The sequence below is a fragment of the Homo sapiens genome, chromosome 3 (assembly GCF_000001405.40).
Source record: "Homo sapiens chromosome 3, GRCh38.p14 Primary Assembly".
NCBI lineage: Eukaryota > Metazoa > Chordata > Mammalia > Primates > Hominidae > Homo > Homo sapiens.
Genome location: NC_000003.12, coordinates 118,724,544 through 118,737,441, shown reverse-complemented (window position 1 = coordinate 118,737,441; position 12,898 = coordinate 118,724,544). Strand labels below are relative to the sequence as shown.

The window sequence follows — 12,898 nt, the reverse complement described above, 5'->3', positions numbered from 1 at the left end:
CCCATAAGGCTGTCAGTTTTAATTAGAGCCCAGAGCAAGAGAAGGCTATACAACATGTACAACAAGGTACTCTGTGACTTGAACATTATAAAATCAGATGTAGCAAAATGTTTGTGACATACAGGAATATTTCCTTGAAACCCAGGAAAATGCTGATTAAAGAATCCTGGTATACACCTCTATGGTTATAAAGTAAAGTCATACCCTGGTGAAAGCAGCTCTAAGCTTGCTAACAGGCCTGGTAGAGACAAATCCCTGACTGTTGGACAATATGTGGTCATACAACCTGAACTACCCATCATCTACTGAGTATTATGTATTTAACCAAACCATAAAGTTAGCATGTGCAGCACATTCCATAATCATGTGGAAATGGTATGTATGAGATTGGGTTTGAGTAAGTCCTGAAGGAAGGAGTTTCTTGAGAAAGCGGTTTAGACTCTAATGGCATCTACTTCTGTATTTCTGCATCCCCCTGATCCCACACCTGTGGCATCATGGGAAGCTATTTATGATTATTTGACTAGAGAAGAAAAAAAACTGGGTCCTCTGATTTATAGATGATTCTACATGATGTTCTGGTACCAGACAGGAATGGATTGCTGCTGCATTGCAGAGGTAGCTCTAGAGGACAGTAAGAAAGAGAGTACCACCTACTTACCTATGGGAAGAACTATTAAGAGGTAGCCAGAAGTATAGATCGATATTGGGAAGTGGCAAATACTTTGGCTGGATGGTCAGGGGCTTCATAAGTTTCAGATTGGAGGTGTTGGGACAGGGAACTCAGAGAAAGAGGTATGTAGATGGACCTTTTGGAATGGGTGTAGAGTTAAGGATAATTGTTACCAGGGGGACTGCTTACCTAAGGGGATCTGCTGCAGAGAAGACTCTCAATAATCACAGAGGCTAGATGACTTATTCTGTGGATGGTTTCAGCTTCTTTATCCAGCCACTCCATAATCTGCTCATCAAAAAAGTGGCCATGTTAACAAGAATGAATGTTATTCATGAGCTCAACAACATGGAGTTCTTCTCACCGAGGCTGATCTGACTGCCACTGCTGAGTGCCTGGCATGTCAACATGTCAACGGCAGAGACCAAAGCTGAGCTCTCAATATGGCAACATTCCCCAGGAGGACCAGCCAGCCACCTGGTGGCAAGTTGATTACATTGGACTCCTTCCATCATTGAGGGGGCAGCAATTTTTTTTCTTCCTGGAATAGATGCATAATATGGACTTGGGTCTGCCTTCTTTGCTGGCAATGCTTCTGCCAGTACCACCATCTGTAGACTTATTGAATGCATTATTCACTGTCTTGGTATCACACAAAATATTTTTATTCCGACCAAAGGATTTTATTTTGTAGCCTAAATAAAAAGAAAGTTACAGAAAGTGTCACACTCATGGGATTCACTGATCTTATAGTGTCCATCATTCACTCAGAAACAGGATGCAGTAAACATTCAAAATTAGGAACACATATATGATACCATGTATCTCATTGTAAATAAAATATATGGGTCTAGAAAGCCAATTTTTGCATTCTGGCCCCACAACTAGAGTCTTAATTGCTACATGAGAAACGCTTTCACCAGGGTTCTACATTAGTCCTTACTGAAAGTTGAGACAACAGTTTGGCCTTTTAGGAGTTTCTCATACCACTGAACCAAGAAATAGAGAAGAGTTACTGTATCACTGGTGATTGATTCTGATTATGAATGGGAAGTAGGGTTGCTATCGCATAAAGGAGATAAGGTGGAGCCTAGGGAATTTGTGTTGGGAGCCTAGGGGATTTATTGGTATGCATTCCTTATGCAGGAAGTTAGTGGAAGCATACAGCAACCCACTACAGGCACCTTCAGGAGTAGAGATTTGAGTTATTCCAACAGATAAAAAGCTATGACTGGCTTAGATGCTGACTGATTGATTGTAAAGGAAACAGAGTGGGTTGTAGAAGAAAGAAGTTTAAAGCCTAAGTATGGCCTTGTAACTGCTTGCAAAAATGAGGACCATGTTAACTATGTATTGTTTCTTGCATATGTACGTACATCTTCTTATCTTCTCTTTTCCATACAGAAGTTTGTTAGTTGTGATTAATTTGTAATTTAATTTTTAGTTTACTGATTATCAAAGAAGGACTGTGACTAAACTAGAAGGAGAATTAACACTATCCAGAGATGGCTACAGTTCTGAAGGGAAACTTTGAGTCTCCACCTTTCCAAGAGTGGGTGAGTGCATCTACATTTATATAAGAGCAGACACATCATATTAGGCAGACTCATTAATTTGTTGCTGGTGTTGGTTAGAAGCTAAATATGTGTTGCAAGGATTTTGTGGGTTTAAACGGGAAAAGGGGTGGATTGTGCTGGGTTATCCATTATCAAATCAGCTGAGAACTGCATTTCTCATCATTTCTTGTCAGTATAATTCCGGGTCATATTCTGCCAATGAGAGGCACTCTCATGAGATTTGCAGAGGTAGAAATGGGGAAGCCATTATTCCCTGACTGCAGCTGTGGGCAGGGGCATAGACACAACAGTTGCAGACATAGGGTTGAGCTAGTACTTCTGGGCATCCTCCTGGGAATCACCCAGGTGGTGCTGCAGGCAGCTGTGGCCACTGGTGACGGCTTTTCTATGAATCATGCTGTTCTGTGTTTTCCAAAAGATGGCAGTAGCCTCCTTGACCTTCACTCTCTCATTCCTAATGAAAATTGTGTTTTCTCCTAATTTACTTAAGAAATCCCTTCCTATTTACAATACCTTGAGTGGCTTCTGTTTTCCAGATCAAACCCTGGTATGCTAAACCCAAGTTTTCCTCTCTCTCCTACCAAGAAAATCTTGAAACCAAGAATGAGATAGGTAAAGCAAGGCTGTCTCTCTAGACAGTTGTTAATAAATGAAGCCATTTTTGAAGAGTCTGAAACCTCTTCAGGAATGTCTGAAATTAGAAACAGTTGATTGTCCTCATTGGAGGAGTTTCCATCCGGAGGGGTAAGGTTCCTGTGGATGTCTTTGTATAACATTAAAGATTAGAAATCCTTAAGTACACCAGCCACTATATTTAGAATAAATTAAAAATAGAGTAACTGCTCAATTATGTGTTTTTTTTTCTCTCTGTCTTAATTCCTTCCTCCCAACATATATAAGCACACAAACTTTTCATATTGCTATATTGGTTAATAACACACAAATTTATTTTTAAAACATTATTGATATTTCCTAATTTTTCTCATCTTAATTTTTTTTCTCAGTAGTGAATATAAAAGGTATGCCTATTCTTGATATGGGTACAGTGGCACATGCCTGTAGTCCCAGATACTCAGGGGGGCTGAGGCAGGAGGATCACTTGAGCCCAGTAATTTGAGTCCAGCCCAGGCAACAACATAGTGAGACATTGTCTATAAAAAGAAAAAAAACAAAAACAGTATGCCTATTCTGAAGAACAGATGTTTGAAATCTTTTGCCTGTAAAAAAGTTTTCCCATATTAAAATGGTGGAGATCCGCTGCCTTCAAGTCCAAAATACCCATGCAGTTTTCCTCCCATTCTTGAGCTTGGTTTGGAAAGAGCATGGCACTTATAGACAGAAAGGCTGGGGTTGAGTTGTGTTTCTTGCTTCTTGCTGACTATAAATGTCAGGCCTCTGAGCCCAAGCTAAGCCATCATATCCCCTGTGACCTGCACGCACACATCCAGATGGCCAGTTCCTGCCTTAACTGATGACATTCCACCACAAAAGAAATGAAAATGGCCTGTTCCTGCCTTAACTGATAACATTATCTTATGAAATTCCTTCTCCTGGCTCATCCTGGCTCAAAAGCTCCCCTACTGAGCACCTTGTGACCCCCATTCCTGCCCGCCAGAGAACAACCCCCATTTGACTGTAATTTTCCTTTACCTACCCAAATCTTGTAAAACGGCCCCACCCCTATCTCCCTTCGCTGACTCTCTTTTCGGACTCAGCCCGCCTGCACCCAGGTAAATAAACAGCCTTGTTGCTCACACACAGCCTGTTTAGTGGTCTCTTCACACGGACGCACGTGAAATTTGGTGCCGTGACTCGTCTTCACATGGACGCACGTGAAAATAAAATCTTGGATAAGTCACTTTTTCTTTCTTTCTCAGTGACCTCTTCTGTTCAGTAGTAAAGAAAATAGTTGTTAGAAGTTGTAACATTACAAAAAAAAAAAAATTAAAACATCAGGTAATGTGAAAGTGTTATAACACAGTCAGCTGATCCTAAAAAGTTCTGAGCCATTCATACAAATACCATCAGCACATATGTAAATCTGCCATCAACACAAGCATACCTTTGGCCCACCGCCGTAGACTAAAAAAAAATAAAAAATAAAAAAAATGTATCTCGGGCAGATTGTGTACCCCTTATTGATCTATTTGCCTTTTTAAAATAACTGATTCCTTATCCAGTCCCTGTTGTACTAAAGTTATTTTGCTTATATCCTGATCTAGTACAAAGGGATAATTTATCATAAGGATATGGAGAACATCTTATAAATCCCAAGGACAGGGAAACAGTTAGACTTTAACTAGGACCTTGAACTAGGAAGGGAATATTTTCTCTTTCTGAAAGCCTCTTTGTTTTCCTCTCAGACCTGCTTCTGTGGTCCACATGATGGCATATGGTTTGTCATAGCTCCTCAGTTTATGTGTTACTGTTCTAGCAACTGACCTGCAAAGAGGTAGACTCTCTTAGCCTCAATTTCAAACTCCGAGTTGTAAAAATCGAATGAAAACTTATTGGGTCAAATGTCCATCTCTGTTCCATAAAAATGTGGCCAAAATGACCAGTTCATGTGGTATAAGCAAGGCTGCTGGACACCCACTCCAATGAGTGATTCCCAGTAAAGATAGCCAGTGTAAGAGCAAGACCCCAAAGGTTCTACATATTCAAAGGATCTTTGAGTGGAAGATCACCCAAAGGGTAGAGAGACATAGAGGTACTTCCTGAAACACCAAGTCCTGGTACCTTACAGGCTAAGCTTTGTATTATGTACTTGCACACTTACTCATCTATTTATGTATTTATGCAGAGATTGCCCAGTGTCAGGCACTCTTGTGGGATACCATCATGAGCTACATATAAACTCTGCCTTACAGGGTTTGTAACTTCACTGTCACTCATTTAATTTTAAGCCACACAGTAATGCCATGTTTTAGGCATTTTCACTCCTATTTCATAAGCACGGATATGTAGAAGCCAGCTTTTCTGGTATGACAGCAAGACCTTTTTTGTTCCACCATAGATGATGATAATTAACCTGATATTTTATATACTAACTTCTGATGTACTAATTATAAATCATTTTTGTCACTGCATCACATAATAGATTCTCCTAGGCAATTCTTTTCAGAATTATTTTAGTTACTGAATATGTTTGAAAGCAATTAAAGTGTACTTTAAAAAAGTATCCCATAACTGGGCTGGCCTTCTCCCAAGTTATTTAAAATTAGTGAGGTCATTACTAATACAACCAACTACATTAATAAATCCATGACTATTCTTGTATATCTATTACATCTAGCAAGCTCTAAGCTAAAATCAGATTTTAATATTTTATAGATGGGACAGGATTTTAGCTCCTAATTACTCATTTGCCATGTTCTCTTGTGCTGGGAGAAAGAAGGTTTGTGTACGGTAGTGTTCAGTTGTCAAGATAGAGAAGGAAAGCAACAATAATGGCAGAGTTGTGATGTCATATGTAAGCTGGGAGTCCATACGTATTGTTTCAGGTACTGTTATTTGTTAACTTTTCATGCATATCTCATTCAATTCTCACCAACTCCAGTGAAGGATTATTATCCAAATTTTACAAATTGGGAATTTATTGTTCAGAAAGGTTCATACATTTGGTTAAGATCAAGGAGCCACAACATGTAGCCAGATCTTTATCACTACAATGCTCGTGATCTCTCCACTACCCAGTTCTGACCCTAAGACCCGCAGTTTTAGTGTAGCCTGTAAAGAAGATGAGACTCCAGCAGCCAAGCCAAGAATTTGTAAAAGGCTTCCCTCTGATCCAGAGTTGCCTTAATCCTGTATCTGACTATTTCTATAATGGACACTTCTTCACTGAGGAGTTTCTAGACTTAGTTAACTTACATGGCAGAATGTTAGGACTCTCTTAGAACCCAACTTGAACTACCTAAAGCAAAAATAAGTCTCTTGAAAGACAGATTTCATGAACTCTCAGAAACCTGAGGACCTACTGACTGGAGCTAGGACTACACTCTCCATATCTTTTCTCTGCGTCAGTCATGGAGTTTACTTCTTTGCAACTTCCCAGGCAAAGAAGAAAGGGGGCTGGATATGGAATGAAGTTTCTCTCTTCCAACTCTAGTTTTATAAGTCTTTCAGAAGGCTTTCGGTGGGTCTCAAGTCCTCATCTTGGCTTGAGCAATGGACTGGGGCCAGGGAGTGGAGAGTTGACGTGTCTAGATCCTGTATCCATGCCCATGGCTAGGAGGGGAGACTCTGTAGTCAGAGGGAGGGGAAATGGGTGGTGGGTAGGAAAAGTGGACATTCACTATGAGAACTAAGAAGGGAAAGCTGTGTGTTCTTCCAGCTTCCAAGGAGTTGTCTTTGGGTCAGGGAGAACATGATTAACAGGTCACGTACCTAATCCCCACTGTGTGGGACACGTTACAGTTTTCTTAAATACTGAGTCAGAGACCAGACCTTCAGCATTCACCTGAATCCATGCTTTCTGGAGTTTGGCTCTACCCTTTTCCCAATCTATATTCTCTCTCCAAAGACCTCAAAGTGTTCTTAAATTATTTTTTAAAAACTACAATTAAAACAAATCTGTTTATCTCCAAAGCTTGTTAGTTCATTATGGATTCAGAGAATAGTTTTCTGATTTATTTCCTCTGTTTGGGCTTCTTCTGCCCTGCTAGTGGAATTTGAATCTAATCTTTGTGATCAATTATAATTAATTAGGCAGTATTCTTCCGCAGTAAATGGTGACTATAGAATGGTTATGGCGATCTGTGTGTTTCACTCTGAGCTGTAAGTAGAGATGTGTTCGCTAGATTGCTGTTAATTAATCGTTTAGTTTGTCAAAACAACACAATGGGCTTAAAAATACATTTTGATAGTGCTGCTGCTGACTGCTACTTGTGAATCTCTGCTGGCACCAAGAAAAAAGAATGATGAGAAGGACAAAGCTTCCTTACAAAGTTGCTGATGTTGGTGTGTAAATCCTTGTCACTTGCTGGGAATATGTGTGGCTCTGAGACTATTTATTTTTAGGACATATATGCACGTGAATATAACTGATAACTCACGAGGACAAATGTACCATCTATAATTTATTTCAAATGGATGAAACTGGCAAGTTGCAAAACGGCTGTTCTTCAAAGCCCTGGATGATATTCATAGATTAATACAAAGACTTCATTTTAACCAGTAGTGTCAGTCTTCTCTCCAATCAAACTTGTAGCTATAATGCTAAACAATGACCCCAAAATGCTCTATTTTATATATTTCTTTCAGTCACATTCAGCTTTGAGAGTGGAAGTGCGAGAAATAGCCCCAGTACTGGCAGAAGTGAGGAGAGGTCAGGAAGAGGCTCTAGGCTTGGGCATGCCTCAAACTGGATTACTGGATAAGAGAATAATGGCATTAAGTAGATTGCTTAGAAGTGAAGCAAAGAAGTGAAACTTACGCCCCCTGTCTGCTTTGGACAGGTGTGTTTTGAGAAGCAGAGGGGAGGTTTTCATAGGCCATTATCAAAGTGGTACAAGTCTGTGGGGGTGCAGGGCTAGAGAACTTCAGGAACCTGCAACTGGAAATGGACATGACTCACATCATTTCACTTTAGGGAACATGGGATGGAAAGCTACTCGGTAGTGGGGAAGAACTATGCTCATTAGCTCATTTTTTGATTCAACTTGGCCAATCAGCTTTTTAAATACAGGATAGGTGTGTCCTACAGAAAATCTCTGAGATATAATGAAAGCTTGATGTTTGGGGAAGCAAATATCCTCCTCATCCAATTCCAGGATTCTCTGATGTCCAGTGATCCCTGATCCTGCCAGGGGAAGCGGAGAAGTTATTTGCTTGTTTGTATTAGTTTGTTTCATTTAAAAATTTTGAATATTTCAGTCTTAGCTTTATCTCTGATTGCATGATGATAAACATTGTCTCTACTTCTAGAAATTTCATTCTCTGCTGAGGGAGTGTGGAGTAGTGGTTAAAAGCCTGGACTCCTGTGCCAAATCACTTTGATATAAATCAAATTGTCTTGGCTTTGAAACTTGTTCATTGAGTGCAGAATATTTTAACTCTCTATACTTATTTTCATGCTACTCTAAAATACATTTTTTACAATAATGCCTATTACCTAGTTTTGTTCTGAAGATTTAAAACAAAATGTGGAAGGCTTAGACAAGGTTTTGGTATGTAGCCAGTACTGTATGCATCAGCTAGAGAAGCAATACGTCAGAGTGATTAAGAGGGCAGACCCTACTAGTCAGACTATATAGATTCGAATAACAATCCTGTCACCTACCTACTGTGTGGCCATGGGAATGTCATCTAACCTCTCTGTGCATCATGTGTGTCATTTGAAAATAAGAATAATAATGCTAGCTACATCTGAGAGTTGTGAGAATTAAATACATGAACATACTTATATGTAACACTTAGACCACTGCCTCAGGTATAGTAAGCCTATATGTGTTTATCTATGGTGATGACTAAATAAATATGGGAAGAATTCCTTGGGTTCCCAAGATTGTGTCAGAGGTGGCATGATAATGGTGAAAAGCCTTGGTTCTGGAAATGACTGCTCTCTACCTTAGTTTCCTTATCTGTGAAATGGGGATTAGAATAGAATAAAAATTATAGGTAAGTGGTGAGGATTAAATGAGGTAACACAAAGAGGGTGATTGGCACCTAGCTGGAAAATGAATGCTAGCTAATTTAATTTATTGCTGGCATAATTACTGTGAAGGCAGCCACCTGTTCTTTGTACCCACAAGGGAGTCCTGAGAGTCTTCAAGTAGCTCTAAAGCTTACCATACCTAAGGGTCCTCCCAAGTTCCAACATCAGAGCATGGCTGTCTCTTCATCTCACCTAGCAAAGGTCTTCTTGGGCCCTCCTCTCAAGTTTTCCATGCTGTTTCTTGCACATGGATATTTGGGACTATGTTTTTTTTTTGAAATTAAAAAAATACTTCTATTGGTCAAAACAATTTAGGGATGCTAGAAGACATATGGACTGCTAAAAAGAGTAAAAATAACAGTAACTACTGAGCACTTACTGTGTGTCAAAAGCTGCAGATATGTTCTTTTTCAAAATAACAACCTTATTGAGATATAATTTAAATACTATGAATGTCACACTTTTAAGGTCTACAATTCAGTGGATTTTGGTGTATTCACATAATTGTGCAAAAATCCCTATATCTAACTTTAGAACATTTCATCACCCCTAAATAAACTCTGTATCAATTGGCAGTTACTTTCATTCTTCCCTCCCCTAATCCCCTGGCAACCACTAATCTATTTTCTGTCCATATATATTTTTCCATTCTGAACATTTTATATAAATGAAATCATATAATATGTGGCTCTTTGTGTCTGGAATTTTTCTCTTAGCATAATGTTCTCAAGTTTATCCATGTTGCAGCATGAATCAGACCTTTATCCCTTTTTATTATGGAATCATCTTCCATTGCATGTGTATATCATACCTTGTGTATCCATTCATAAGTTGGTGGACATTTGAGTTCTTTCTACTTTCTGGCTATTATATATATATAGCTGCTATGAACATTTGTGTACAAGTTTTGTGTGGGCATATGTTTTCATTTCTCTTGGGTATAAACCTAGGAGTGGAATCACAGAGTTGTACGGTGACTCTATGTATATAATCTTTTAAGAAACTCCCAGGAGGTGCTCTTTTACCTACATTATCTTACTCAATTGTGGCAATGCTCCTCATTTTACACATGAGAAAGCTGAACCTCAACGAGTTTAAATAACTTGCCCACATTTGCAGAGTAAGTGGGTGGTGGGGCTAGAGTCCAATCTTTAAAGAATCACTACACACTCCTGGTGTCTCCAGAAAACTGTTCAGGTCTCTCAGAAATTTTTTACTGTATTCATTCTAAAGGAAATTTGAGGCCAGTGGTTTTCAAAGACAAAGGATATTGGTAATGGACAGGATGTACAATAACATAACCCAATCCCAGGTAAACTGATTGTGAGAAAAATTAAACTTGAGTGAGTGGAGTTGTGGAAACTAATTTGCGGTGATATCCATGTGTTTAGGTTATTATTTGGAAAATGACCAGCAGAACATAAATGGCTCAATGCCAGCATTGGCTTGAGGAGTTTAGTATAGAATCTGGGCATGAACACTTTGGTGGTTAAATATGTTGGAAATAACTTTTCCCAGTTAGTGTTTATCTTCTAGCTTTCTTTAAGGTGTCTTTTGATGAAAAGTTTTTTTAAATTTTAATGTATTCAGATTTATAAATCTTTACTTCAGGGCACAGATGTCGGAGCCAGACTGCCTGGACTCAAATCTCAGAACCTGCATTTATTAGCTGTGTGACTTTGGGTAAGTTAATTTAGGTCCCATCCCTTCAGTTTTGTCATCTGCAAAATGAGGATAATAATGATGTCAACTTTAATGGTTTACAGGGAGAATTACATATGTGCATGTAAAGTAATGAGAATGATGCTTGGCCTATAGGAAATACTATATGGAGGTGATACAGAATCAAATTATTTTATTCTTTGTGGTTTTTATTTTAGAGTTCTGTGTAAGAAAACCTTCTTATGTGGAAGTCATAAAATTATTCTCTCTCTGGCAGTTTCCAATCCACTGTTTAATTTACCCTTACTTAGAGGATTTTTCATCTAGTGGTTGTTTTTCAGTCTCTTGTTTTCCTTCTTGTTTTCAAGTTTATCTTCTATTTCTAAGGACTTAATAAAATGTAAGTAATTTACGTTCCACATTTAAATGATATCTGAAGTGTTTGTTACTGTGTTTGTGGGCAGATCCTTGTGTATGTCCTCTAGTGCTAAGTCAAGGAGCCTTTTTATTCTTTTGTTTTTTCCTCTGTTGTGAACTTTTTATTTATGTTGGGAATTTTTCTATAAGAATTCTTTTAGGCTTGGGTTGAAATTGCGTTCTTCCAGGTAGGATTATAGTTATCCACCCAAGGACCTGAAGTGTCTACCAATCTGGGATCACTTTAAATCGTATTATCTGAGTAAGGTTTTTCAGATAACATGAATATGGACCAAAACACCATGAGGACTGGCTTGTTGTTACAAATTATCAGGTAATGTTTCTTCACCTCTATCTAGTGCCAAAATTTTGAGGATTTGTAATTCTTGTTATCCCCTTCTGTGTAGCAGGGGTTATTTCTCATTCATCCTCTCTCTGAGGGGAGCCTTCAAGGGCTTGGGATTTTATCCTCTGTTCCCTACACCCAGAACTCATATTGCTGATACACAGAAACATAGAGTCTTTAGGGTTCAAATGAAGCCATTAAGGAAAATCTAGTTGTGGTGCTTATTTTTTTCCCCATGATTTGGGTTTCATTTCAACTTTTGGAAACTGTGGATCCTTTTGTGCCAGTTCGGCAGTGTCTCTAAAAATGCATTTCTATACATTTTGTTATCCATTGTTTTAGTTGCTTCTATCAGTAGCAGTTATTCAGGGTATTTAACTTACAATATTTCCAGAAATAGATGCCTCTTATCCTTTCTCCTCTCCTTCCTCCTCTCCTTGTTCTTTCTTTCCCTCCCTTCTCTTCTCCCCTCTTTTGCCTCCCCTCATCCTTTCTTTTCACTTTCCCTCTCCTCCCTTTTTAGCTTGCCTATAATGGTTCAGCAAAACAACTCTTACCCTAGAAAAAGGAGATATAAAGAATAAAGGCCTTTTGTATAGGTGAGGGGACTTAACTATCTAGCACCAATTTTTTGCAGCCTTTATTTACTGAATTATGTGTAAATAATGTTCTAACTCCTCTTAGCAAAGAACAGTGTTTTATTCATTATTATATCTACAGTGAACTGAAAAATTATCTTAAGCCAATACACACAAACTTTCCTTTAGGGTATGTATAAAAATATGTCTCATTTACAGGAATATAAGCTGCATTAGTTAACCCTGTCTTTATCCTTAAGCCTTTTGACCATATTCAGTTCCACCCCCACAGGCCAGACTTTGATCTATCTAATCTTTGATACTGCAAAGATTCCTAGTCAATTCTGAAGCCTGTTTTGTTAGAATTATTATAAATCTGTTATTTAAAAGTCTTAACGTGTTTTATTATGAAATCTCTACATTGGCTCCTACCTGCTGATCCACTTTCATCTCTTCTTTGGGAATCAGGCATGATCATGATGGTCTAGTCTAGTTTGAACTGCAGTGGTTGAATTGTAGCGTTTGTAACCCTATGTTGTGGGTTTCCCACAGAAAGACTATCTTGGTAGTGTTGAGATGTTATCATCCAGAAAGAATGGACTGATCTGATTTTCAGAAACCATTCAGATAAATTTAGCCTGGAACTAGCACATGAAGTTTGTATGTCATATATTCACTAACATTCATAAAACACCCACTATGTACCAGGGATTGAGATTCTGTACTAGGGACTGGCAATTTAATTATGAATCAGACAAATTCCTTGGCTTCAAGGTATTATTGGTTTAATAGGAGTGGCATGTAGGCCTCTCTGATACTCTGTTAGAAGAGATACCATCTCACCATCTCCCTTCTCCTCCACAAGACACCCAAACTGTAGAGGAATGATTGGTTTAATATGAAATATTTATAAATGTGATGCTAGTAGTGCAGCTCTGGTCCTAGAATAGTTTTGCATTTTTAATCTCAAGACCTAGACGTACATTT

The 12,898-nt window shown here is 38.5% G+C and overlaps 1 long non-coding RNA gene across 1 annotated transcript in view, besides 1 other annotated feature; it reads left to right on the top strand.

Annotated features, from left to right (window-relative positions):
* Positions 1–12,898, top strand: part of LOC105374060 (uncharacterized) — a 302,423-nt gene that overhangs the window by 73,392 nt on the left and 216,133 nt on the right. The gene's annotated exons all lie outside the window — the stretch shown is intronic.
* Positions 3,487–3,988: an enhancer, noted in NCBI's record as "NANOG hESC enhancer chr3:118452301-118452802 (GRCh37/hg19 assembly coordinates)". NCBI's record gives its function as "activates a minimal SCP1, AML or CMV promoter by ChIP-STARR-seq in naive and primed H9 embryonic stem cells {active_cell/tissue: H9 hESC(naive and primed)}" and the evidence as "EXISTENCE:reporter gene assay evidence [ECO:0000049][PMID:30033119]".